The sequence below is a fragment of the Homo sapiens genome, chromosome 3 (genome assembly GCF_000001405.40).
Source record: "Homo sapiens chromosome 3, GRCh38.p14 Primary Assembly".
Classification (NCBI taxonomy): domain Eukaryota; kingdom Metazoa; phylum Chordata; class Mammalia; order Primates; family Hominidae; genus Homo; species Homo sapiens.
Genome location: NC_000003.12, coordinates 54,874,605 through 54,902,534, shown reverse-complemented (window position 1 = coordinate 54,902,534; position 27,930 = coordinate 54,874,605). Strand labels below are relative to the sequence as shown.

Here is a 27,930-nt window from a genome sequence, read left to right as displayed (position 1 = left end):
GGTGGCAGCTGGAGAGTTGGCAGGCTTCTCAAGAGAAGGACTGTAAGCAATGTCATAGGCCGGGAAGATGGATGGGGCCCATTTATGCACCAAGGCTGGCGTACAAATGGAATCTTGCCCAGTCTGACTGGCCTTTCTTCAAAGGTGTCATTGACAGATGAGTATCTAAATGTTTTTGTTTAAAAAAGAAAACACACAAAAGAGAAAGAAGAGAATAAAACAAAAAACAAGAAAATGAAACAAAAAAACCTCTTTCTACCCCAGACATATATAGCCAATGAACATGAGATGACCAGGTCAGGCCTGGGAGCGAAGCTGGCCTTTCCAAGGAGTCCTTGATAATTATTTGCATAGTTGTACACCTCTTCTTTCAGAAGAGTTCCACTTTAACACAAGGATTTCATTGAGACCTAACATTCCTGCCAGTCGGCTGTCTCCCATCTGCTGTTGGGGCACACTGATGGGAGAAAAGCCTGCTCACATATTCATCTTCATCTGCCAAAACAAGGCTTCTTCCCCAATTAAAATGGCCTTTTTAATTTTAGAGTGGTAAACAGTGTCTACTTAATTTGAGGAAAATACACAGAGGAAAGTTACCAAACCTAATCACACAGTGATATGATGGTTGAGTCAGAGTCAGGAAAACTTGGGGAGGGGGTGCTGAAGAGGCCGCTCTATTTTTGGAGACAGAGAGGTCTTCTTGAGGTCACTGCCTTCGTGGGGCTGCATCCACAGCAGTCTTCAACATCAAAACCAAGCAATTCTGTTTTATCTTACGTCTACCAAAGTTTGAAAAAGGGTAACAGTCACCAATTCTAAAAGGTAAGGACTAAATACGGTTCTTTAAATGACCTTGCTTCTTGGCCTTGCTCTGTAATTATCTTCTGAAAATGGGGGCCATTTGGCATACACAGAGAAGCAGTAAATAGGAGGGTGCCTTCTCCACCCACTCAGGGTGGACCAAACTGTGTCTCGTGACCTGCCTGTGGTCTATGGCCAGCGATGCAACTCGACAATAGACTGGCATAGCATTTGGAAAGTGCACGTTCTTCTCTAGACTGGATACACAGTGTTCAGGCTCAGACCACGTTTCACCTATACTCAGCCAAACAGGCATTTATGAAATGTAAGGCATTTGGAAACATGTGAGCATAGTTTGTAAACTTGGACAGAGGTGGCTGGGACAGGCACAGTGACCTTAGGGCTCATCCTTCATGATGACTAAACTAGAAACCCAAAGAAAGGGTTTTAAAAAGAAATTTCAAACAGACAACCAGATATTCTGGCCAGACCATGTCACTGACAGCTGCTGCATGTGGCCTCAGCTCCCGGGAGACAACATGCCTTCAGAATTAGCTCGCTGGACCAGCCTGGAGGTAAGCAAGCCTGACCTCCTTTAAGCATAAGTAAATCTTGTTGAGTTAAATGATCCCGTCTCCCACTTTCCTCAAGGAACATGAGACATTAAGTGACAAAATTTGAAGACAGCAACTGTGAATCCTCAGAGCCCATATCTCCTGGCTGATTAAGAATAGGTCTGCTTAGTTCAAGATGAGCCACAGGTCAGATACATAAGGCTGTCATCCTTGTCACACCCAGTAACTCAGGAATAACCAGGGCAACTACCCCCAGATCTTTCAACCCTACTAATACAATTATACACAGGCCAAGTAAGAAATAAAGTGGGGGGAAAAAAGCAGTATTTCCTCGCCAAAGAACAACCACTTCAAACAGGTCTCCTCCATCTGCTCCATTTATACTCCTTCCCACAAATATTCAGTGTGTGAAGACACAGAAGTGGATGTTAAGTCACCCTAAAGTACAACTTATTGAGGGAGACTGCTGGAAAACAAAAATCGCTCTCTTTAGTAAACCCAGCCAATACCAGGATGGTGCTTGGAGCATATCACCCACCCATCAACCAATGGCTCCAAAGTGATCAGAATAAACCATGTGCCAGACACACCCTCGGGCCTTGTTTTTATGTCAGCATCTGTCTTCAAAGAGGGCTTTTTGGTAGTTGCCAGCCCTTTAGGCCAAATGCCACCAATGAAAGCCCCTAGCCATCCACAGACAGCTGCTGACACTCCTAAAAAGTGAGAGAAATGGAAAAAGCCAGAAACGGGACTTCTTTGACAATTCAAGACTCTCAGTCATATAATATTTTGGCTTTCCCCTGGTCCCAAACACAGCACCTGCAGATACAGCTAACTCTAATTCCCCAGGGGGATTAGGGGGATGAAAATCTCAGTCTCTCTGGAGAAGGGCACATTTCAGTTTGTGTTTGCCTAAAACAAACCTGCAATTTCCTTGTATGCCCACTGTCATCCTAATGACACAGAAGCTGGAGATCTGGAGTTTACTTTGAATGAACATGCTACCTACCATCAAGAAATTCTCCTCGGCAAGTACTGACAATTTCTTACTGGCTCAGAGTTTAAGGATAGAAACGCTGGGAAAGTTTTCTGTTTTCACATCAACCACCACCAGCTGTCAGAGTCTTGGTTTGAAGGAGATGACACCAAGCTGAGAAGGAAGTAATTTAAAATTGTTTTCTCCTTTGAAAACCTTTTTGGAGGATAAGCGTGCCTCACAGAAGTAGCCCACTGGCCGGATGAATGGGCGCCATGCTTACTTTGTCTTCATGGATTCAATCAATTATTTACCTGCCACCACAGGAGATTTCCGTTCATCCAGGAGCTGGATGGATGTACTTGCTGTCACCACATTGCTTTTATTGACTGGTCCTGTGAAAAGAAAAAACACCACAACAAAAATGAAGATAATTACAGTGTACACGTTAAGAGAGTAATCATATCGGTCTACAGTCACCAATTCTGCAAATTGTTCTGGGGCTTGGTCCCAGGCCCCAGAGTCCTCTGAGGTGTGGATGCTCTGCCTACGCTGCCAGGCCATGAGTGCAGTGCTGCGAGTCCTCCCAGCTGAAGGAATTGGCGAGTTGAGTTATGACCACCAGTGCACTGGGGAACATCCAGCCTCTTCACATCGAAACCATTGACCACCATCGAGGGACCACATTTTTTGGTAATCTGTGGTTTCAAATTGCAGTGTTTACTTGTGTCAGTGGTCATATTTACACTGCCTGTCTAAATATAACCATGAAGAGCTGTATGAGGGCTTTGAAATTATTTTACAAGTTGGCAACTTTAGCTCTGATTCATTGGTTAAATCTTTACTGATCTATAAAATTGTAATTTCGAGCCCAGTTTTTCTGGGCAAAATTATTCTAAACAGGGATAGAGCTAGAGCATAATCTTCACTCCAAACTATTATTATTCTGGTAACAATATGGCATTAGTATTAAGAGATTTTCAATTACCAGCAATGGTTCCAATATCCACGAATTAAAAGATACTGAGCACAAATTCTGAATGCCTGGAGTTAATAATTTAGTCCAATGCCCACCTGCTAAAAGGTGCTCAATGAAAGTGAGTTGGATGAAATCCAATTGAATTGAGAAGCAGGGAAAAGTCAAACCTGAATATGAATACACTTAGGACCAAAGTAATGAGAAATTTTCTCCTGGCCCAAGTTTAAGCAGCAATAAAAACCAGTTTCTTTTCTAGTTTGTACAGGTATTCAACACATAGCAGAGAAAATCAGAGAGAGCTCCACCACAGAGACTTGCAGTTGGTGATTTTTAAGATTTTCCCGGACTCTAAGGGGGTTATGAAATGTCCTAAGATGTTACGTCATCTGTAACTTTGTCATGAACAAGGTAAACTCACTTCATTATACCATTACATTGAAAGTTTGGTGAAAATCCCAGTTACCAAAAACCAATCCAACAACAGCTTTAGTTAACTCGATGATTCCAGAATCAGAAGAACAGCAAGCTAAGTTCTATTATTTTTCTTTAGAGGATTGTGACAAGGAAGTCTTAAGAGATTGCTTGACAGAAGACAATGTTATTATTCATAGGTCTGCAGCAGAATGAAAAAGTTCACTGTCTCTTGATATTTTCAGCAACAAAGTGTGGTGCAGACAAGCACAAAGAAAGAGCTTCAGGCCAGGCATGGTCCCAGCACTTTGGGAAGCCAAGGAGGGTGGATCACTTTAGGTCAGCAGTTAGAGACCAGCCTGGCCAACATGGTGAAACCCCAACTCTACTAAAAATACAAAAATTAGCTGGGTATGGTGGCGGGTGCCTGTAATCCCAGCTACTGAGGAGGCTGAGGCAGGAGAATCGCTTGAACCCAGAAGGCAGAGGTTGCAATGAGCCAAGATCATGCCACTGCACTCCAACCTGGGTGACGGAGCAAGACTCTGTCTCAAAAAAAAAAAAGACGGGGTGGGGCGGAGAAGAGAGAGAGAGAGGAAAAGAAAAGAAAAGAAAAGAAAAGAAAAGAAAGATAAAGAAAGAAAGAAAGAAAAAAGAAAAAGAAAAAGAAAGAAAGAAAAAAGAAAGAAAGGAAGGAAGGAAGAAAGCAAGCAAGCAAGCAAGCAAGCGAGCTTCGGACACCTGGAAATTTACATTTGAGAAAGCACACACAACTACAGGCAGGCATACACACAGGTCTATCAGCAAAGGAGCACAGACCCAAAGAACCTTAGACCTGAAAAGAATCTAACAGATAATCTAGTCTGAAATCCCAAGCAGCAAAGAATCTCATCAATAACATTCAGCCTCTCCTTAAATATGTCCATTGATGAGGGACTGTCTTCCTAATGAGCCCATTCAACCAATTGTAAGAGCACTCTTTGCTTTCTACAAATTTCAAAAGCACCCTTTCTGAAAATATTTTCAGTCATGGAAATGACAAAGCACCAAGCCTTAGGGAGGGGGATTGGGCACAAACCCTGGAGAACTTCCCTTAGGATTGAGTTAGGAATATTTGTAGAAGATTAATATGAAAGGAACTGATATATGTAAAATATAACTACAGATTGAACTTTCCAGAGCAACCCAAGTTTACAGAACTAGGTTTCCTTCATCTCTCAAGTTTCTGCAATAAGCAGTATAGAGTGAGCACCCAAAATACCAGATGCATGAGGCAAGAGAAAAAAAAAATACGAGGAAAACTGAAGCATTTCCAGTATGTTTTGCTTCCAAAACTGGTGGAAATAAGACATCATTCAGTTCTTTTTGGAGGCAGGTGACTTTAATTTTTTATACTATCATATCATAAACTCTTAGGACTGAAAAACTAATCGGCTACATGCCTGTCATTGGTAACTGCAGGCTCCTGTCAAGAGAGCACATGGTTATACAAAGTCAGTCCTTAGTCCGGCATATCAGTTTAAATCAATTCAGTTCAAATGGGGAACAGTGGACCTCTGCAGGGATGTGACTCACTGAAGGTTCTGGCAAGGGATGCTTGAATTTTCTCTAAGTGGGGCCATGACTACATTTAAAAAAACTGACTGACAAGTTTCTATTAAAATCCCATAGGATGCAAAACATCAGCCCTGCTTCCTGAAATACATTTACATAATTTGGTAAAGGAAAAACCTTCCTTTTCTTTGAGGCTATTACTCTTATGGAACTGGTCACTGGTTCAGGGCTGACCCAATATTCAGCACTGGCTCTGAGGGTTGAACTTGGTTCCTTTCAGCATTCAGGCAGCTCCCCAACACCCTGCACACAATGCCCAGACCCACTGGACCAGACAGACAGAGCCCGCCTCCAACAAGGGCACCCACCAGTGCTGAATGGGATCGAGTAGACGAAGCTCCCTGGAATCTGCTCAGCGGCTCTTCGGTACCAGAGAGGGAAATGGTCTGCGTTAAAAATGTTCTCCTTGTCGCCAGCTTTCAGGAAGTCCCTTGAAGTGGAAAAGAATCAGAAGAACATGCATCACTCAGCAGAGTAAAGGTGGGCCTGGAGCACCCCGACAGCCTTCATCAGGTAAAACCAGTGTTCACTTTTAGAACCCCAACTTGCCTTTCTCAGTATAGAGGGGGCCTCACTTAACACTGTGCACCCCAGATTACTCAAAAACATCTTGCAGAGCTCTGGGAGTCAAATTCTGAGTGGGTAAAATGATTTTTCCTTGTATATCTAGTGAACTAATTGTCTTAAAGTCTGAAGCCAAGCAAACAAAGCCTACAGAAATCCTATCAGAAAACCCAAGGATGTCCCCTCTAAACAAGAAAGCTTTGTCTGGCTTTAATACTCACACACATATACTCATACCCTTGGGAGAATCAACTCCTTAAGTAGATCTCATTCTTCTTAGAGCAAGTGTAAAGAAGGTAAACACGCTTCTCAGAAGAAGTGCAAAGGAAGTAAATGTGAGCCCACACTGAGATCTTTGTACCTTCTTCCCTCACCTGCCTCCTCGCTGGACAAACAGGCCTGCTCATGCCCCCTGTGTGCATCCCCGCCCTCCACTGACTCCCTGCCTTCTGCGCAGAGAGCTTGTCTATCGGGAAGGCTAGGTGCAGTCTTCTTTCTATCTCTTCCTTTCAAAATCACACTCATTTTCAAAGTGCGCCTCATCTACCATCTACCCCATGAATCCACAGAAACACATGCAAGCTTTTGCCACACCCTGGGCCCCCACAATCTTGGTAACTTTCATATAGCCTTTTATTTATTTTTTGGCCTGCACAATCATCATATCCCCTCCCCAGACCTCCCAAGATCTCTGAGGACAGGAGATTTGTTCACATTTGTGCACTCTTCACAGAGCCTTAAGCATATTCAAGTCCCAGTGCATGATTATTGACCTGACATTCCCTCTGGAGAGTCACATGTGCTGTCCAGCACCTGAAGCGCCTCATCTTGGCTGATACGGTGCAACTCAGGCGGTGGGGGGATGACCGCCTGGTTAGGCCACAGTCTGCTGCAGACATTTTTCTGGAAGGGAGACCAATCAAGGGACAACATATAGGTAGGGAAAAGGCCATGAGTTGAAGCAGAAATGGCACCACTTTCAACCCAGCAGTTTGCAGCAGAGAGTTGGATCACAAGGACCATGGAGAGAAATTTTCATGCTAAGTTGTAACTGGTTGGTTTCCTGAACTTGGCACCCAGTTCAGGAAAGCATTCAGTAGTTGCAGGGTGTGTCTAACCAGGGTTCCCTTCACCTCTACCAAAGATGGAGTGCCCACTTTTGGAGAGGAGGCCCATGCCCTTCGAGGACACCCTCCAGGTTCTTAGATAGCTCTGGAATCTACCTCCCTGTAACTTGTACTAGCATGTCCTAACTCCTTTCTAAGGTCTGGGACCTTCCTCCTCCCAATATTTCCAGGGCCTGGCTCTCAGCAGGCGCTTGGTGTATGCTTAATGATCACAAGAAAAATCTAATCTCATATCCAGATAAGAGCTCTTCCAGTATTAAACACAATTTCCTATATCTTCAAAAATAAAATTTCTCAATTTGTTTAAATTCCTTTCTATGGCCGTCTTCATAAGTGCTCTACTTTGTTAATACTGCTATAAAATTTTGTGCTACTAGAACTAGGTAATTGTAGGTCAAAAACGGTCTGACATAGCATAGCTGCTTGCATTTGATCTTGACTCTTACTGACAAAATGACTCTCCAGAAATTAAAAGTGTTTAAAAGAAAAATTTTTACAAAGCACTCTTCTCTCATTCAGAAGGCTAAGGCCAACTTTGGAGTCATGTGCAAGACTGAGAAAGTGCAGAGATCCCCTGTGCTATCTAGAATGCTGGAGATCAGGACTTCCAGGCTCATCTTGGTAGACAAGCTCTTCTTTGTGCTGCTTGTATTCAGTGGTAATGTTTCCTAATCTAAAAGTCATCAGGCTTCAGGAATACTGAAATTTTAGCCTTTTCATTTCTTTCGCTAGACATGAAATTCTTCATAAACCTGACCTGGACGGTGTGAGGAGGAGCCTCTGTTGCCTGGCCCATGGCAGGATGCATTGCTACTCTCTACCCTGGGTCACAGGTGCAGCCACGACTGAGCAGAAGGTGTTCGCACTCCCAGCAGGTCTGTTCAGTGGTCATTACAGCTAAGAGGTGCCCTGTCTATGCAGCACAGGTTAATGATGCCCACAGGGGACCTTTTTCCAGAGTCATGGTAGATGAGATGGTGGCTTGGTTAGAAGGTATGAAGTGGTCCTCACTTAAGGCAGTGACATTCAGGCTTTGGGGGTGGCTGGCAATAGATCTGGAATGCTGCACATCTGGGTGTCCAGTGCCCTGCTGCCCGGGACAGTGCTGGCACCTAGGGCAGCCAGCAGGAGCCTGCAGCACTTGATCCCCATTAGCCCTGGTGTCACTGCGAAAGGACTGAGTTGCCGGGAAACCCTGGAGGCCTCTGCCAACTACTAGGCAGCAATTCTGGAGGAAACAGGAAGGAGCAACCTGATTTTACAGAATCCCAAAAATGTTCTTCAGGAAGAAAGATCCTTCTGGGTAAGGTGAAAGTCTCCTCCTGGATACTAGGAGCTATTGCAGTGGTGTGTCAGGCTGGTCTAGATTCTGGGAAGAACTGGGTGACTCTGAGTGAGTAATTGAGTCTCCGACCCCCATTTACTCATCTACAAAATGGGAACAATAAAAACGCTGCACTTTACCAGGGTTGTATCAGAATTACATAACACCATATGTGAAAGAGTGTTATGGACACTGAAAACAGGCTCTAACAAATATATGGGATTCTTAAAGCCCAAGAGCTCTTTTGTTCTTGGTGGTTGAAAGGGCAGGGGTAAAGTGGTCATCTTCTTAACTTAAGGCTGTACGCTGTGAAGGCTAACATCACTGGATGCTATATGCATGTGATGTGAGAAGTCGTACTGAAGGCACAGAATGTATTATAACTATTGGGGGTGACGGCCAAGTTTCAGTATAATCGACCTACTTCCAAATGCAGGTGGCGGGGGTATGGGATGAAATCTCAGTGTAGGAGACTGATGATAGTATGAGATAATTGCAGGGTAGCAACTTTATATTATCAAGTTCTCTGCCCAATACTTAAAGCTCTGCCTTTCATGCCCTAGTCAAAAGCAAAAACTAAACCAAAAGTCAGAAATGCTAAAAACTTTCTAAGCCTGGCTTAGAGAGTGTATCCAAATAGCTGGATCTTGACAAATACCATTTGATGGGAGGGGATAGGCAGGTAAGACCCTAAGACAATAGATGTCAAGGTGCCTCTATATGAAGCAATGACAGGAGTTTCTTGAAGACAGATTTCATCCATTCAAATTGTCAATGAGTACCCACTCTGTGGGTCACGTAATGCCACAAAGAATAGAACACACAGTTGTAGGAATTTTTAGCTTCCCAAAGAAATTTTCCATCCATAAAAAAAAAAAGAGTTTTTTTGAGACAGAGTCTCACTCTGTTGCCCAGGCTGGAGTGCAGTGACACAATCTCAGCTCACTACAGCCTTCACCTCCCGGGTTCAAGTGATTCTCCTACCTCAGCCTCCTGAGTAGCTGGGATTACAGGTGTGTGCCACCATGCCCGGCTAATTTTTGTATTTTTAGTAAAGACAGGGTTTCACCATGTTGACCAGGCTGGTCTCAAACTCCTGACCTCAAGTGATCTGCCTGCCTTGGCCTCCCAAAGTTCTGGGATTACAGGCATGAGTCACTGTGCCCAGCTCATCCATAATTTTTTTTGATCTTCACAGTAACCAAAAGAGATCATCGCTCTCACTTTTCAGGAGGACAGAATGAAGATACCCAAGTGAGATAAGCCAGGTACACCTCCCAGCATCCTTACTGTGGTCCTTTGTCTTTTAAATCCATCACAATAACACAGTTATCAGACCAGCAAGGTGTCATGTTTTATTGTTACTGTTTTGCAGCTTTGCTTGTTTCAGTCTCAATGCCAGCAGCAGACTTTCTCAATGAGTATTAGAAAATGAATTCCCTTGTCTCCCCTTGCCTATCTGGATCCTAACAGGAGAAGGCAATGTGTATCTCAGCACCTCTAGTCCTTCCCAGGAACTCGCCCTCTGGAAAAACAATTGTCTGGGGGAAAAACGCTTAAAAAAGTCGTTAAAAATCAAGTTGCAACTATAATCAAACTTCATAGATGATAAATGTGAGTATCAAGAAGGTCAAAGTCCTGGAACAGAATTCAAAGCCAATCTCTTAAAATACCTAAACATTGATTGATCTGTCATTTACCAGACTTGGTTTTGTAAGGTTATATGGTGGGTGTCAGGGCCTCACCTAGCAGAGGCAAACAGCACTGTCAAGCTCCAAGGAAGCACCGCCTCCTTGGACCCCTGATGAGCCAATCCCTCTCAAATTGGCAGCTACTCTGTGGCTTGGTTATTCACCTCCAGGTACCCTGAAGGTTGGGGGTATAATGTTCTGTGGTAACCTCTGAACTCACACACACACACTTGCAAACCACTCTCTAACTTTCTGAATCTTGGGACCCATTTGTCCATGTCTTAACAATCGCTCTTGCTTCAGAGAAAAGAAATAGAAAAAACTTATTAACAGACTCAGAAAAGACTTCACAGTCTACCTACTAGCCCTGGTGAAACACCAGTTTGATGAGTTAAGGGCCCGTGGTTCTCTGAAGATGCAGGGGCTTAGCATCTGGGTACTAGACCTGGAAACTCTCTGCCCACCATCTATCCACGTCTCTTTGGAAGTCCAAGGAGACACTGTCAAACCCCAGCATCCCCAGAGGGCCCACTCCTGGGTGTGGAGCTCTGCAGCCCCTCAGGCTAAGCACAGAGGCAGAGGTTTATTAGTAAAATGTAAACAAACAGGACTTGGAACAGTGACTTTTGTACAGGCAGGAATTCCTCAGCATAGCTGCAGAACAGCTGAACACCCTGAAGCCATTTGTTACGAGATGAGTGTTTCCTCCCTCTGGCGGCTCCCCCAGCAGCCGCACCACCTCCCAGAGTTCTGAAATGACTCATCAGGGCGGGAGAGGACTCCAGGACAGTGGACAGAAGCCAACAAGCCTGAGGAACAAAGGGTGGTGGAAGGGCTAACAGGCAGGTGAAAGCACATGCTGGGGCCCGCATGGTAGAACAGAGAGGAAAAATCTCAATAGGCCTGGGGTGGCCTAAATTATGTTTCTACCAGTAGTGGAATCAAGAAATGAAATAAGCTTCCCTTTGAATGTTCCATTTCAGAAGCTCCCTGGGCCCCTGTAGAGGATCCCTCCTACTTACTGATTGGTGAGCTGCTCAGCCCCGACAAACAGGTTGATTCTGGAGAGGCCCGTGCGAGTGCCGAGGAAGGCAACCTCCACGCCCTTGTCAGAATTTCTGAAACAGAACAACAGACGTCAGGGGGAGGCCTCTAGACAGTAAGCAGATAATACATTGCATTTTAAGACTCACAGAATGTTTTTACCAAATAGCAGTTTTGAAACTTAAACTTTAAAAGAAGATACAGAAACACACACACACACACACACACACACACACACACACACACACGAGCACAGATTGCCAACTTGTATCCCTTACAAAAGTTTTCAAAGTAATACTTGCAGGAAAAATGAAGAACTTCCTGCCAACAAAAGCAGCATGTGAAAAAAATCTACTTCCAACCATACACACATCTTTATTTCAAGGTTCTGGGTGCAAGTTCAAAGAGATCAGGCTAAGAATGGGAAGGACTAGCCAGTTAGGGCTTAGGACTCGCTTTTTGCATTAAAGCTACCAAGTTTATTCTTGGTCTTGAGATCATTTGTGGAATCTGCCATTAAAGCAGCTGAGCCATGGAACCAAGTTTGCAGCATCCCACAGCCTGGAATTCCACGTAGTTGGAATTGGTTTTGACATCCACACAGTTGTGGGGGCCCCAGCTTATCACTTCTACCAGACCACAGGCCTTATTCTCACCACCAACCCCAAAGAGATGTGTAAAGAAATGGCTTCTTCCAATAGCTCTGTAGGAGGCTACACATAGGAACTCTAAGAACGGCCTTGGCAAGGAAAACTAATGTAAAAATTCACTAAATATCATTTTGTTTCAACTTCCAAGGCAAATTCTATATGCTTGAGCGTGTTCTTTAGGAGATTTGCAAGGTATATTTCTCCTATGCAAAAAGCAAATGGCCTTTCTTCACAAACACATAATATTTTTTTTCTTTCTTTTTCTTTTTTTTTTTTTTTTTTTGAGACGGAGTCTGGCTCTGTCACCCAGGCTGGAGTGCAATGGCGCTATCTCGGCTCACTGCAAGCTCCGCCTCCCGGGTTCATGCCGTTCTCCTGCCTCAGCCCCCCGAGTAGCTGGGACTACAGGCGCCTACCACCACGCCTGGCTTATTTTTTGTATTTTTAGTAGAGACAGCGTTTCACTGTGTTAGCCAGGATGGTCTCGATCTCCTGCCATTGTGATCTGCCCACCTCGGCCTCCCAAAGTGCTGGGATTACAGGTGTGAGCCACCATGCCTGGTCCACAAACACATAATTTTATCCTACAATAAATGTATGAAGAGAACACCAATTCTTGAGCTTGTTTCTCTGTCCTAAATGCTACTAGTAATTTGATCCAAAGTATTCTCCACGTTATCTTCAAAGTAAGGTCATTTGGTTACTTGATCTTTGATGAAAGTCAAAATGGTGGATGCTACCTTTAAGTATTTAAGGGCTGAATAAAAACCAAAACAATGCATTTCTGCTTGTAGCCTACACCAAATTGGAAAGCCAGGCTGTCCAATCAGTTACAGATGGTGGACTACAAAGCAAGTTACCATTTTGGAAATCTTTAGTATGTGTTAGGAATGAATCAGCAACCTTTGCTCAAGATTTTGAGTTTCATGAGAGCCGAAAAGAAACACTACAAGGTTTACTAGAGAAAGAAACCCCAGGAAAGGCTCAATTCGTTGCCAGCTTCCCAGGAAATAAGATCCATGCCATGAAGGCAAGCAGTTCAAAGACACCCCTAATAATGAAAATGGCAGTCTCTCTGGGGCTCCAGATTTGCATACTAAACAGCCTACCTGACATCTCCATTTGGGAGACTTTCAGTCATTTTCAGCTCACGATGTCTAGAAGAGAGACTGGCCATGCCCAGCCCTAAACCTGATCCTCCCCCAGTGTCTCTCGTGTTAGCAAATAGCACCGTCTGCCCAATAGCTCATGATATAAACCTGGGAATGATCCTTGATGGCTCAACCTCCCTACCCTCCACAACAAACCCATCATCAAGTCCTGGAGACCTTGCCTCTGAAGCAAGCCACAAGTGGACCTCTTCTCTCTGTGCCCACTGCCCGGGTCCAAGTCATGAATCCCTGGGAAAACTGTACGAACCTTTACTATTGTTCTTACCCCATCACCCTCTGTTCTCCACACAGCAATAGAGAGATCTTTTTGTAAAATGAAAATCTGATCATTTTCTTCCCCTTCTTAAAATCCTTCAGTGATCTTCCACTGCTCTGAGTATAAAATCCAAAATCCTTAACCTGACTCCCAAGGTCCTGAGCCATGCGGCCCCTCTGCAGCCTCATCCTCTGACATCTTCCAGGCTATCCTCTATATGTCAGCTGTGTCCACCTTCTTTAAATTCCTCCAATGTGTCAAATGCTTTCTCATCTCAAGGCCTTTGTACATGCTGTTCCTGGAATGCTGCCCAAACCTTGAACTAGTTCCCATCTTCCTCCTCCACTTTAGATCTGTTACACTTTATGTGTCTTTACTTTTCCTTCAAAGCAGTTATGATTCTTAATAATACAGCACACTATATACCACAGGTGCCATGATGTTAAGGGCTCTATCTGTGTGGTTTCTCTCCATTTCCCCAACACCTCGCTCAGAGTCTGGCACATAACAGACACACAGTCAAGACTTGATGAGTGAATGAATGAAAATGAGAACAGAATGAATGTCAGGATGGAAGGGAAGATACAATGAGGGAATGAACTATTGAATAGAAAAATGGAGAGAAACAGGATAGAAGGGAAGATACAATGAGGGAATGAACTAAGGAAGAACAGAAAAGTGGAGAGAAATGAATCATGTAACACATGAAAATATAAGGGAAAAGGAATGGTTCTTCCTTTTCTTTTTAATCTTTAATAGTCTACTTAAAGTAATAATGGTAAAGAAATAATAATAAGCTGCTAAAGCAGTTCTCATCCTAGTCTTTGATATCAACTACCACGGCCTTCCCCACAGCCCTCCACCCTCCACTTCAGAAATAAAACCACAGGGTTATATCTAACACCCTATGAAACTGAGCTCTCACTTCTCCATCCTACTCACAACCTAACCTGGCCCAGATCCCAAGCTCCCCCAAGACTGCAAAGTAGAGAGAGCTGTGGCGAGGCAGGCAACGAAGTTCCCTTCCGCCTCCCTCTCTCTCGGAAGTGTCACCCTACCTCAGCGTACCAAATTTCATGTAACGTTAAAACTCAAACAAATTATATGTCAAAGCCAGGAGCTTGCCATCCAAGCCCGAGCCGCTAATCTGCTCTAGCTCTTGTGGTTTGGAGCTTGGGGGAAAATTAAAGAACTTTAACACCAGGTTCCTAAAACAGTTTAGTTCTTTAAACCATAACCATATTTCGGAGTGTTGGTGAGGAAATGGCCATGAAACGAGGACACGTGCAACCACTTACTCAGATTTGTTGAGGGCCAGGCTGGTCCAATACGCTTCAATGGGGGCACTCACCACCGCGTCAAAAAGGACTTCTTGGATCAATTCTTTATCACCTGTTGGGAGGGACAGACAAGAGGATGCTTCAGCAGGGCTGGAAGAGGGGCATGAGAGGCACTCATGGGCTCATTGTGCAGCATCTGCAGGCTACTTTCTCATGCGGCATGTTGCTTTATGAGTTAAGTTCCCACTAGTTGAAAATATGAAACAGTTCTGACACCTGGTATGCCTGCAACACAGGAGCCTCCAAAGCATTTGGGCAAGAAGGTAGTCAACTGAGAGCCTTGGGTGTCTCACACTTCAGTTTCTTGCTTTCTCACCCCATCTCGTGGTTCCTGCCATGGACCAGCAGGCTGAGTCCCAGATTTGGAGACCAGAAGCCAGTACTCCTTGAACACTTGGCTGTCATCATCCCCATCTCTGTCCTCTCCTAAAACTGAAATTCTTTAGCACCCTGAAATTCTCAGCCTGTTGTCACATGGGAAAGAGATACCATAACTTAATAACCCCTGGGATTCTTATTTTGTGATTCCTTCTTTTTAAGAATTGTTTCATTTTATTTATTTTTATTTATTTGTTTATTTTTTTGAGACACGGTCTCACTCTGTCACCCAGACTGGAGTGCAGTAGTACAATCTCAGCTCACAACAACCTCTGCCTCTCAGGCTCAAGCCAGTCTCCTACCTCAGCCTCCCAAGTAGCTGGGATTACAGGCACAGGCCACTACCACCTGGCTAATTTTTGTATTTTTAGTAGAGATGGGGTTTTACCATGTTGGCCAGGTTAGTCTCAAACTCCTGACCTCAAATGATCTGCCTGAATCAGCCTCCCAAAGTGCTGGGATTACAGGCATGAGCCACCACGCTCGGCCAAGAATTGTTTCATTTTAAAGGAGAATGTCTGTTGCCATCCAAAGGGACTCTTGGTAGAGCTCTGTGGAAGAGGCCAAGGAATGAGAGGACATGGTAAGTCTAGGAGAGGCATCCTAGAGTTTTCAAATCACTCTGCAGAGGAGGATAACTAATTATCACATGGGACAGGACAGTCCTCACCTTGACTGGGGGCAAAAAAAAAAAAAAGAGCTTTGCTGAAAAGCGAAAGCTAGAAATAACTTATCAGTAAGACAATGAATATATTAAGTTATGTAGTGGAATTCTATATAGTAATGCAAATAAATGCGTTAAAGCTAAATGATCAACACAAATTTCAAAAATATAATGGGTGAAAACACAAGTTGTAGTACATATATACTTTATACACATATTGTATGTATTATAATATAGTAATTCATACAATATACCATAAAGTTTAATATATATTTTAAAATAATAAAATTAATGCTACATATTGTTTATAGATACCTACATATGTAGGAATAGCATTAAATTATTGAGAATAATGAACAAATACAGAAGGTCATTCTCTTTGGGAGGGAAACGAGGCTGAGCAGGGACCCAGGGGCTTCAACTTTATCTATAATGTCTCATTCCTTAAAAAGCACCTGGAGTAAGTGTGGCAAAATATTACGACTGCATAAAGCTGGATGGTGACTACAAATGTATTATTCATATTGTCTCTATACTTTTGTTTTTTAAATATGTCCTTAAAAAGTCAAAGACAATGACACATTGGGCTCACAGGATGTCCATCTGATCCTTTCCCCACCAGGGCATATCCCAAAAAGTAAATCCATTCTATGGAGATGTCATTTAGTAGCTGGATAATCTCCTTACACCTCTCATAGGATTAGATATGTAAAACACTTTTCAGGTCATTGAATACATGATGCTTGTTAGAGGTGGGGGCAGATATCATGATCAGTTTTAGTGGCTCTCCCCTGCCCAAACTGTGAGAGTATAGGGTCTGTTCCTGCTTTTGAGGGACATCCAGGGCTGCCACTGCTCTTCCCTCTTTTGCACCAGCTGAGAGATTTCCTACTCACTGAACTCCCCTAGAAGGGGATGCTTGGTAGGCAGGGCACTCAGCATGTACCACACTGAGAGGCTACGTGTCCCCGTCGTGACCCTACTCTTGGGAGAACCAGGAGATCTAGATATAGCCTTGAATGAGGCACAATCCTACTTCCAGCCTTGGTTTCTCATTTGCAAAATAAGGGAGATATGCAAATATTTACAGTCCCTTCCCAGTTGTAACATTTTCATCCTATTCAGTTGCTTGACTAAATGGTTCAGAAGGGGACAAAGCCCAATGCAAACAGCTAAACCAGGATTGGGGATTCTGTACAATTTTCCATAATCCACATTCTTTCTCCTGTTCCTACAGGAAGCAGATATTTGATTAGATTTCATGTGACTGATAATCTCTGCCAAAGCAAAGCTTCCCTTAACAAGTGAGGCCAAAAAATGTTTTGAGTTCATTCCCCACCATCACCCCTGAAGGCACAGCACACTTTTGAAAGCATACTCACACTGGAGCAGAGGTTCTTTGCCTTTTAGGTAGAGCTTAATCGCTTCTAACTGAGACAGATGGCGGTGCTCAGGGTGTAGGTCAGTGTTGCAGTAGGACCTAAGAACATGACATGGCCCAAAACAAGAGCATGTCAATATTTACAGCATCTGCTTCCTTTGCCTTGGAATCAGGAAAACTGGGCAAGGGAGCACAAACCATGTGGAATCAAAGAGGGCAATGAAGGATGCCATGGTCAAGGAGGGATGGTTTAATTCTTACCATTCATCTGCCAAGGACACATCGGGATGTTCTAAGTCATGCAGGCCTGGGGGTCAAGGAGAAGGGGTTCATGAATAAGTATCACTCCCCCAGTCCTCCTGTGTGCTTCAAATATTCTAGGGTAGGGCTGCGGGGTGGGTTAAGGGTAGACATCAACCCTAAGGGACCTGCCTTGGAGCAGCAGGTTTATTTTCTGAGGAAAATAAACGAGTTCCCTTCCAGGCAGGACTCTCTCCCCATCTCTACCTCACTCAGCCCAGCACTGCCACCTTCCCTGGCTGTTCATCCCAGGAAAACCTTAACCCCTTGAAGATAGAGGATACACAAATGAGTCCGGAGGGAGAAGCTTAACAGGACTTTAGAAACACTCTCTCTGGTGCTCCATTTAGTCTAAGTTGGGAACCGGGCTAGGCCACTGACCTCCTGTGTGATGTCAACAGGTTATTTTACTTCTCTAAACGTCAGTTTCTTCATGTGAAAAGCAGGAATAGTAGTCCCTAATTGATGTGTGGTTGTGAGGGTGAAATCATAGGTTGAACAATATGAAGTCGTCAATACTCAACTGTTTTTGAGCAGCAAAGATTGCTAGTTGTTACAGGATCCTAAGTGAAAACGGTCATCCGCCTGGGAAGGAAACTAGGGGAGCTGGGGCTTGCATGGAATCTGGGAGTTTTAATAGAAGGTTCCAGACCATCCTAACTCTGCAAGGATAACTGTTTCATTGCACTTTCACATGGCTTGATCTTAATGGGTTATCAGCAGACATACACTTCTGAATGATGACCTCGGGAACTCCCATGATGCTTATAGCCTGTTTTGGGAAGTTAGTTTCTTAAATGACTGATAGTATCTTACTGCACTCAGGACTCCAGTTTCCATCTCAAACACAAATCTATAAAAGAAGTAGCAAAATACTAGACCTATCACACAATTCTGCTTGATTTTACAGAAAGTAGAGAATACATTAGAATGAACATCATTGCATATGATCCAAGTGGGCATACCCACGCTCCAACACCTACAGGCTGAATGACCTTGGGGATGTCATGTCAGCTCTTTGAGTTATATCTACCATGAGATACAAGTAATACTGCATAGCTCACAAGTGCCAGAAAACAGTTAAATGGGACAGGGATTAGTCCCTAGTACAATCCATCTATCTGTGCAGCCTTTCTTCTTTTTTTCCTTTCCTTCTTCCCAACCAAACAACTTTCCTTCCTTCCTTTTGCCCTCCTCCCATTCCTTCCTTTCTTCCATACTTTTACTGAGCATCTGCTATATGCCAGGTATGATTCTAGGCCCTGAGAATATAGCAGTGAAAAAACAAAACGAAAATTACTGCCTTCATTGTATTTAATTTCTAGTGGCAGAAAAGAGATAGTAAATTATATTAAAATTTAACTTTAGAGAATATCAGATGGTAGCAAGGGCTAAAAAGGAAAAGAGAACATGGAACAAGAACAGGGAGGACCAAGAGATAAGGAGGGTTGAAGGGAGAGAGAGGAGAGAGAGAGAGAGAGAGAGAGATTCCATTGTAACTATGGAGGTCAGGAAAGGCTTCACTGAGAAAGTGACCTGAATGAGGAAAGGAAGAGTCATGTAGGTGGCAGGAAGGGTGCTCATGGCAGAAGGAATAACAAGTGCAAAGGCCCTGAGAAGGGACTGTACCTTCCCAGAAAACTGGGTTTAGAGTGTCAAGTCTTTTTCTAGTTGCAGTTCCCATCCTCCCAACCTCATTTACAAAATCATCTCTGGCTCTATTTCACAGGACCTATAAATGACACTCAGAAAAGATGAGATCTATCGGGAAGATCTTTTTGACTGCTTCTTCTCTGGGTTCCTAGGGCACCAAGGAAATTTAATTGCTTTCTAATTCTCTCACCTCTGACATTGGTCCTTCTGATAAAAATCATATCCACTGATGACTGGAACTGTTGACAATAATGACATAAGCTCTAATTTGTTGAACAATTATCATGTGCAATACATATAAAAGATACAAAGTGGCCAGGCGCGGTGGCTCACACCTGTAACCCCAGCACTTTCGGAGGCCGAGGAAGGCAGATAACGAGGTCAGGAGTTCGAGACCAGTCTAACCAACATGGTGAAACCCTGTCTCTACTAAAAATACAAAAATTAGCTGGGCGTGGTGGCATGCTCCTGTAATCCCAGCTACTCAGGAGGCTGAGGCAGGAGAATCACCTGAACCCAGGAGATGGTGGAGGCTGCAGTGAGCTGAGATCACACCATTGCACTCCAGCCTCAGCAACAGAGCAAGACTCCATCACACACACACACAAAAAGATACAAAGTGTTGAAAAAGATTAAAAGATTCATAAGAGAAACAATTTCAGCAGGTAGAATTATAGCCCACACCTTCAATCTTGGTAATGACTTTTTATATTTTTTAGCAAAAGCTACCTATTTGCCGCCTTTGTAATCTCTGGCACTGGCAAAGCATGTGGAAAATTCCCACATTCTGTAGGCAGTTATTCCTTATTGAAGATCCTATAGAAGTATGGTTGCCAACCCCAAGGAACTCCTTCCCTCTCCAAGAACAGAAGAGAACAATAATACACCACGGCTCCTAGAGAGATGACAAGATCCTCTACTATTTGGCCCAAGGGGAAGCAGCTTTCTTAAGTTCTATTACTCAGCAAAGCTGGCAGGATTGTCAGTCTTTTTATTTACAGAGGACCAACAGAGAGAGGAAGATATGACCTCATTTGGGTGGATAAGCAGCCACTCTCCCCCTTGCTGAGGATTTGAGCTAATTTTTTGCACAGTGGTTACAGTTAGCTCTGAAATTCTCTGTGACTGCTTAGCCTCACAGCTGTGGAACATACAGGAAGATAGTGACTGAAAAAGAATCCAAAAGACAATGCAAAACAACTGTGTGTATCTGTGTCTCCATGCATGTATGTATGTATGTGTGTGTGAGAGAGAGAGAGAGAGGAAGGGAGGGACAGGCCCATGTATTGAGGATTGACCAAGGGAGCAGACGCATGAGAGGCAGTTAATATCTCTTAATAACCTCTCCTATTGTTCTGACCATGAGTTGTTTCTTCAGCGTGACCTCACATGGCTTAGACATGAATTTTCTGGCTTCATGGGCAGTGATGTCCACAGAGCCAACATGGCCCACAGAGGCAGAAAATTCTAGAAGTGAAAACATGATCCTGAAAACACATCCTGCAGAGTGTCTTGCTCAAGTCACAGAGTTGCCTGTGTTCTCTGGCATGTCTCTGGGAAGAGAGACCACATGGTTAGCTCTTTGGTGGGCACACTCTGGGTTGTGCCCAGCTCACAGTGAGCCTCTCTACTCTCCTTTCTGCCCCTATACGATCTCACAAGCACTTGGGAAGCACAAACCAACATCCCTGAAACAACACGGGCAGGGACCACTGGCAGTAAATCAGAGGCTATCTAGGGGTTTGGCGTCTCAGGGAACATCCATCTCCTTCCTCACGCCCTGTGGCATCATCTGAGGGCGCCATGGATGGCCCAGCTTCTGGAAACTCACCACATACATGTGTAATCAGTTCCGACCAATTAAAACTTTGCTTATAATTGACCTTCCCATTCCTGGCTGTCCTCCCTAAAGACATCCAGAAAGACTACTGTTCTGGGCCCACTCCTCCTCTGTGGACATGCAAAACCTAATGACCTGCAAGTGAGTCACTCAAGGCCACTCAGGGAGTGGTGCCCTTCAGAAACAATGTCCACCACCCCTGTGAGCTCCTAATGCTGGGACAGGTAACCTCTCTGAACTACTAGGGAGCTGGCAGATGAAAAGGATAGCACATGTGACAGCAATTTTAAAATTTAAAGAGCTATAACAACTGCTCCTGTTTACTGAGAGTTTACTGTGCCTCTGTGCTTTATGAAGATAAGAGGGTCTGGGAACTTCAAGGTGCTACTTACTCCCTCTGACCTATGTAAATCATTTAAATGGTCACATTTCCCTTTGGGCCAGGGCTGCCATGAAACACAAGTGAAATACGTGGCTCAACTGTGTAGGAGAGACTAAGGCTCTCATATCTCTGTTTTCATGGTTTCCCCTGGGCATGAGTTATTTCATAAATTTGTATTTCTCCCAAGTACTGATTTTTATGTATGAGAAGAATATACTTGAGGGATGATTCCTATTTACTGATACTCTGCTTTCATCCATAATGCTGTTGACTGTGAGTTACTCATAGTCAACAGCTTTGTGGATGAAAGTAGAATATAAGTAAATTAAATCACAACCATGAATCGGAACTCCTGTCATTCTGAAATCTAGGCACACCAGGGAAGAAGAAAGGTATTAAGAATTATCAAGTAGGCATTCGTTTGAGTGGAATGTCCAAGGGACTGGTCACAGGTGCGGACAGATGAACAAGTTCTTCAGCTAACTCAGTAGCTAGCTCCCGAGCTTTCCTCCCACACCAAAGGATAAGACGAGCCAGGCAGTATCTTACCTTCTTCGATGGTTACATTCCCTCGGAAGAAATATTTCCCATGACCTCTGGAAAGCGCCACACCTAAACTGTGCAGAGAGACAAAGCAAATCTTGAAATCCCTGGCATCGACTCGAATAGACTTGTGGGCTAACATTTTTTAATTTTCCATTTTTCACATTTCCATTTTATGATCTGTCAACAATTTTTCCAACTGTTTACTTTCAAAACCCCACTGATTATCACTGGTGTTGGTTTTTCTTAGGTTCAATCAGCTGCTTCAAAGTAACTTCTGATCAGAAATGCCAGCAGCAATTGGCTACTCTTTGTGTTTTCAGAGTTGTGGCAAACTGCTCGCCCTTCCAGCAAGCCCTTCTCTCAGATGCCCTCCCAAGGACCATGAGCCCTGCTCTTTATACACCCTTGTCCTGCATTCAGCCAGAGATGGGTCTCTCCAGCCCCTAGACTTTGGGACTCGGGAAATTGACCCCTGCTCAAGGGCAAAAACAAAAACTTCCACTACTACATGAGTGTAACCACATTACTGTGTTGCAGGCTTCTTTGCCCAATCCTCTCCCTAGTCTAATAGGTTTTTCACACTCACTGGCTTGATTTAAGATCCATTCCGTTTTTATCAAAAGCAAGAGACTATGTTTTTAAAACATAGTCCCTTACGTTAGAGAGACTATTTGGCAAACCCACTTAGCAGCTCATGTGGTCCTTATTTGCTCCTGGTTCCACATGGAATCCACCCATGATCCTTGGCAGTTTAGGACAACAATGCTAGAATTTATTTTTCAGATTATTCTACAGTCAGTAAACTCCTTCTCTCCTTAGCTCTGAGACGCCAGTTCAGGAATATGAAGCAGGCTTACTGAAATAATTTTTTACAAAATGAATTACAACACTAAGTTAATAGTAGTGGGAAACTTTAGAATGCTACATACACATCTGAAAGCAGCCAATGAGGCAAAGCCATTTTTCAGGACTGTTACAAAGAGAAACAACAGGATTCAAAAGTAGACAAGCACACAAGGACAGTTCAGAGAAATGGAAACAGAGGCACAACATGTAGGAATGGATATGCCACCTCCAGGTTTGAAGGATTGTTTTTTTGGTCATGGAAATAAAAGGTGAAATGGAACTCACAAAGCAGCAAGTTCAATAGTTAAGGACCCTGGTAACCCTCTGCACTTGTCTTCACCCTTAGCGGGAACCCCCAAAGCATATTTGCTTGACAATGAGATGCAAAGCCATGGCAGATTGAGTGAGTTCTCCTAGGTGAGCCTGAACCATCTCCCCCCCTTCTGGAAAACAAAAGCAGCCTGGGAAAAGCCCCTTCCTCACTCTTTCCAGCCTTTTGGCAGGGTGTTTGGTTATCTTCAGATGATGAGCTCTGAGAGTGTCAGCAGGTTTTGTACAAACACAACTGATGGGTCTGATGGAATGTCCATGTATTATGGTCAGCTCTACCTGAAAGGAGTACCCTTGATGTCTGTATAATAGTAGTCATTTGTCATCACCAAAACCCGTTTCTAGATTGAAAAAAAAAAAAAAGTCGTAGAGAAAAGAAAACATGGTTAGTCTGCTAAGTGACGTCTTCAGAAATAAATAAAAATAAATGGACACACTATGATCAGGTTAACAGTACTACATGAATCTTGTTTGAGATAAGTAAAGACAAGAGAAAAATGATCTCAGCGAAAGATATTTATTCCAGATATAGCTTTCAAAGCTAATTTTTCACAGTGGTTTGTTTTAAATTAAGCAGCAAAAATGTTTGAGAAAAATGTACCCCTTTGTCCACTGTCTTCTTCACCTCCATGGAAAACTTCCCCGTCTTTCGATTCACCATAGCATTTCTCAACTAAAATGATAAAAGAAAAGTGTGTTAGTTCTTCCCTGGGTTATCATGTAATCTGGACATCTTGCATCCTCAGCGTGCAGTGGAGCCTCCATATTGAACTTACACCTCGAAAACAGAGCTTCTGAAGAATAAAACACCCAACTGCTCATGTACAATGGGAGACAGGCTAACAACAATAAATAAATGACCTTCATCTTTAATTTGGGGAGCTCGTGTAAACTTCAGGACAATAACAAAAGAGCCTTGGCGATACTGATGAATCCCGGGGGTCAGAGCGTGAACTCCTGGAGACCCGCTGAAATGCCGAGCAAGAACGTCTCTGGGGACAAGGTACGTTTTCAAAAAGGGTACTGATTTGTCATGGAGAAATCACTTTTCAAAACGTAATCAAGTTAAAGACGTTTTCCTACACAGTAGTTAAAAAGAAGAAGAAAAAAAAAAAAAAAGGCCAAGCATTTGGAAGACAGGGGTTAGCCTTTCCTAAGATGAATCATCTTTAAATGCTCTCTGAGAAATCTGGGCCAATTAATGACCTTGCTGATGAGGCAGTGAACAGGAGCGACCCTGTATCTGATTTTTTGGAGGTCCTGTTTAGGAGCAGCGAGCCTGGCTCTCCTCCCCCACCCCCAGCTGACCTCATCTAATTACATGTGGCCCTTCCATGAGTTCAGAGGAGGACAGCAGACGCAGTGATGAAAGATGTGCCGTCATGGGCACCAAGGCAAGACGACAGAGAAGGCCAGTTAATGGAATAGGAGCAAACGCTGACATGCCACAGCCTGTCAGGAAAGGCTCTCTCCCCACCCCTCTCTTGTCTTTTTCATCTTTTCCCCTCTTTTCTCCTTTGAGGAGCTTGAGTAAGATCTGGCCGATAGAAAACTGCAACACTAGCAAGCAACCTAAATTTGATTCGAGGCTGTCTAGATTTGGGTTTGCATTCTCATCTTCTGTGTGAGTGAGTAAAGGCATAATTTTTAGCTGGAGGCATGTATAAAATAAAACATATATTTTACTCTAGATATTTTTTTAACAACACATAATAGGCATTTCTGGAAATATTTTCCCATTTTAACTTTTGTGGTTTTGGACAGGGAGAGCTGGTCCTAATTAAGTCTACTTTCTAACTTTTAAGAACGGCTCGATTTATCTTTAACATGGTTTTCATTTTTCCTCTTTCTGGTGCCTGCCTAAAGCCATTTGGGACCTTCTCCTCTCACATTCCCCAGGCAAACTAGAGATTAGGTAAGCCTCGCTGTGTCTCCATGCCACCCCACCCCCAACTCCCAGTAGCACAGAACAATCAACATGGGGGTCTGGGAGTGTCCAAGGCCAGGGTCACTGATGCCTCCTTTAGTCTTGCCCTTGTCTTAAATCATAACAAAAACAGGTTATACTTATTGAACCTACTAGTGAAGCAGGATGGCACTGTAGTTAAGGAATGGACTCTGGAGCCAGAGCTTTATGATCTTGGGTATCTCGATCACTTACCATCTCTGTGACTCAGCTTCCTCTTCTGAAAAATGGAACTAATGCCAGCACCCATCCCATTAAGTTGTAGTGAAGACTGACGAGTCAATATTTAGAAGAGTGTCTGGTGCCTCCCAAGCACTCAATACATGCTAGCTATCCTCCATCATCATCAACACCACAGTCAACAGTATCTGTATCATCGTCATCCTCATTACCATCTTGCTCATTTTCACTTAGTGTCAGACACCTTTCAGTAGCTTAAAGCATCAGGATTCGGACTTGAGTTTGCTTGAGGCAGATGCCCAAGCTCAATGTTTTCCAAACTGTTTTGACTTTGAGCCATGTAAGAAATACATCTTACTCTGATGAGCCCCTCTCTATCTCCTATTTTAGTAGATTTCGTTGCTATGTTGCTCATGAACCACTAAATGGATTTTGTGACCTCTCCTCCAACTCCCCACATTGAAAACTGCTGCTCTTAACTGCCTGTAGGTTTACATAGACCGAAAAGGAGACAGCCCCAGGTAAAGAGGTAAACCACGATATCGATGTTCAAGTTTTGCCACTGACACAAGCCAGCTGTCCCGTGACCTCTCTGTGGCTCACTTTCTTCCTGTTTCATTCATTCTGTCTAAAGTGTTCATGAGTGAGGACTCCCAGATCCCAGGGATCCTGTCAGGGGCTATAAAAAGGGAGGTCATCAGATTCCTATGAAATTCGGATACTACTGAGAGATACTGTTTACTGAGTTCTTACTGAGCTCTTACTGTGTGTCAGGCACAGATTTTAAACCCCTCAAACTTATCTTCTGAGGTGCTGTTATTATCTCCATTTTACAGGTGGAGAAATAGGCACAGATAAGAAGTTTGCCCAGGGTAACGAGGCCTCTGCCTCTTGAGCCCATGCTCTTAACCTCTGCTTCCCAAATCAGAAGAGAAAGCACTTGGACAACATTAAATACTTTATAGCATTAATATAAAAATCATATATTATTTCTGAGTTTTTAAAAATCAAATAAAATGTTTTAACAATTGACCACGTCATAGTCTGAGGTCCTAACTTCCTGGCAGACTCTTCTACGAGCTCTAAGTACTATGATCTAGGGTTGACAGGAAGGTGGCTTTCTGTCCTCCTTGCCAGAGGAGGAAAGGGAGTTTGATGACTTAATAGACTGCCCTGTGAGAATACAGCACTGTGAGGCTGGAACATTCTAGAAATGTCACTTTTTTATCTTAGGAAGCTGCGGCTTGAGAAGAGGAGCAACTTGCCCAGAATCACAGTGAGTGGCACCCCTAGGTTGTAAGACGGCAGAGGAGTCCTAAGCACAGGCCAAAGTGATGGGGAAGAGCAATGCAATCAGTCCCCACCTAAGGCGGGGAGGGCAAGATGTTCACTGCTTTGAACTTGCCACTGCTTGGATTTACAACAGTGAACAACTGGAAAAATGCAAATGGCCTGGCGGAGGAAAATTTCCAAACAAGTTTTGATGTGCCCATATGTTAGCATATTATGTAGTCATTAAAAAACCCATGTGCAGCTGTTCAACTTAACACATAGTCAGAGAAAGGCAAATTAAAACATCAGTGGCATACCTTGATTTTTCCATATCAGATATCAAGCATTCGCAAGTGTGGTAATGCAATGGACATTAAAGCAGCTTGTACCACAGTGTACTCAATAAAATAAAAGGTAAAATCTCCTCAAGCTGAAAATACTCATCTGGCGACAGTGATCAGCCTCTCCGCTCTCTGGGAACCACCCTTTCCCCTGGGCCCTGCATTGTCCAGTTCAGATGTGCTTCTCCAGAGCCCCTGGTGAATGTGTCTCTCTTCTGCAGTGCTGAAGCAGAAGCTCCTTGGATAACCACTCAAAGCACCCACTTTCCTGCCAACCTCGTTACAGGTGGAAGCCACGTTTCCTGTTTCATTGTTAGTCTGCTACTCTGACCAGCCATGTTACAGTTCATTAAGGAAGCTTTCCCCAGAGATTCACTGGCCACCTTAAGTTGTGTGTATGATTATGGAATGATAGCTCGTGCTCCTAATGGTGGCTCATTGTCCACATTAGAACGTGAGCCTCACCTTTTCTGGTGCACAGGCAGCCTGCATTTCTAAGCCCCTAATGACATGCAACCACAGACAAGCTGGCAGTTTAAAGAGGAAGGGAGACACAGTGGATAAACAGGTCTGTCATTCCCAAGCAAGCATTCAACCAGCGTAGGAAAACAGACTTGAGCATGGAGAACCTGCAAAACATTCTCTCTCTCTTCCTCCTCCCCTATGTGTCAGTTTGGGTTTGGAGGGGGTGGGGGAGTGCTGTGCTTAGTTTGGGTGTCCAGAGCTCAAGCATGAGCTGGAGAGACACTCTGGGAAGGGTATAAAAAAGAATCAAATAAATGGACTAAGGTCTCAGAAATATGTCCCATGAAAAAGGCTTTTTTGCCTTATAGGGCTTCGGGCAAAAAAGACTCCGGAGAAATTTTCCATCAGAGTCATCATGGGTATGAAGCAATGTAGTTGCCTAGAGGGTAGTAGGGGAAAAAAGGCTTTTACCACAACAGAAGGGATTGTAGTTAGATTCAAAGCAGCATCTATGGGGCAGTACTCACAACAATACCATGCAGACAAACATCTGTTTAGCAGCTACTATGTGCAAGGCACTCCCTATCTTTTCTGCACCCCCCGAGGAGGATAACCCATATACTATGCGTCACTGAAATAGAGTCTTCAAGGACTCCTGGACTCAAGGACTTAAGGGCTCTCTCCATGGAATATCCAAGTGTCAAGACCACGGCTCTGTGGGCCAGGCTGCCTGAGTTGGAATCCACACTCTATGTCCTTAGGCCATTACATCCATTCTCTGCCTCAGTTTCCTCACCTGTACAATGGAGATAAAACACCCATTTCATAGGTTCACTGTGATAAATAAATAAGTTCACTCATG

The 27,930-nt window shown here is 43.7% G+C and overlaps 1 protein-coding gene and 1 long non-coding RNA gene across 2 annotated transcripts in view; one reads left to right on the top strand and one right to left on the bottom strand.

Moving 5' to 3' along the window:
- CACNA2D3 (calcium voltage-gated channel auxiliary subunit alpha2delta 3) overlaps positions 1-27,930 on the bottom strand; it is a 952,006-nt gene that overhangs the window by 172,023 nt on the left and 752,053 nt on the right. The window contains exons 19-27 of the mRNA NM_018398.3: positions 23,446-23,517; positions 23,124-23,185; positions 21,672-21,739; positions 17,209-17,254; positions 16,949-17,046; positions 14,483-14,576; positions 11,085-11,180; positions 5,665-5,786; positions 2,667-2,747 (exon numbers count right to left, since the gene is read on the bottom strand). Of these exons, the coding sequence (NP_060868.2) occupies positions 2,667-2,747; positions 5,665-5,786; positions 11,085-11,180; positions 14,483-14,576; positions 16,949-17,046; positions 17,209-17,254; positions 21,672-21,739; positions 23,124-23,185; positions 23,446-23,517 (739 nt within the window). The remainder of the gene's footprint in view (positions 1-2,666; positions 2,748-5,664; positions 5,787-11,084; positions 11,181-14,482; positions 14,577-16,948; positions 17,047-17,208; positions 17,255-21,671; positions 21,740-23,123; positions 23,186-23,445; positions 23,518-27,930) is intronic.
- CACNA2D3-AS1 (CACNA2D3 antisense RNA 1) lies at positions 1,280-27,930 on the top strand. The gene is made up of 7 exons (NR_046666.1): positions 1,280-1,376; positions 5,577-5,869; positions 7,780-7,922; positions 23,591-23,847; positions 25,381-25,519; positions 26,224-26,266; positions 26,825-27,930. It is a non-coding gene; the product is annotated as a CACNA2D3 antisense RNA 1 (long non-coding RNA).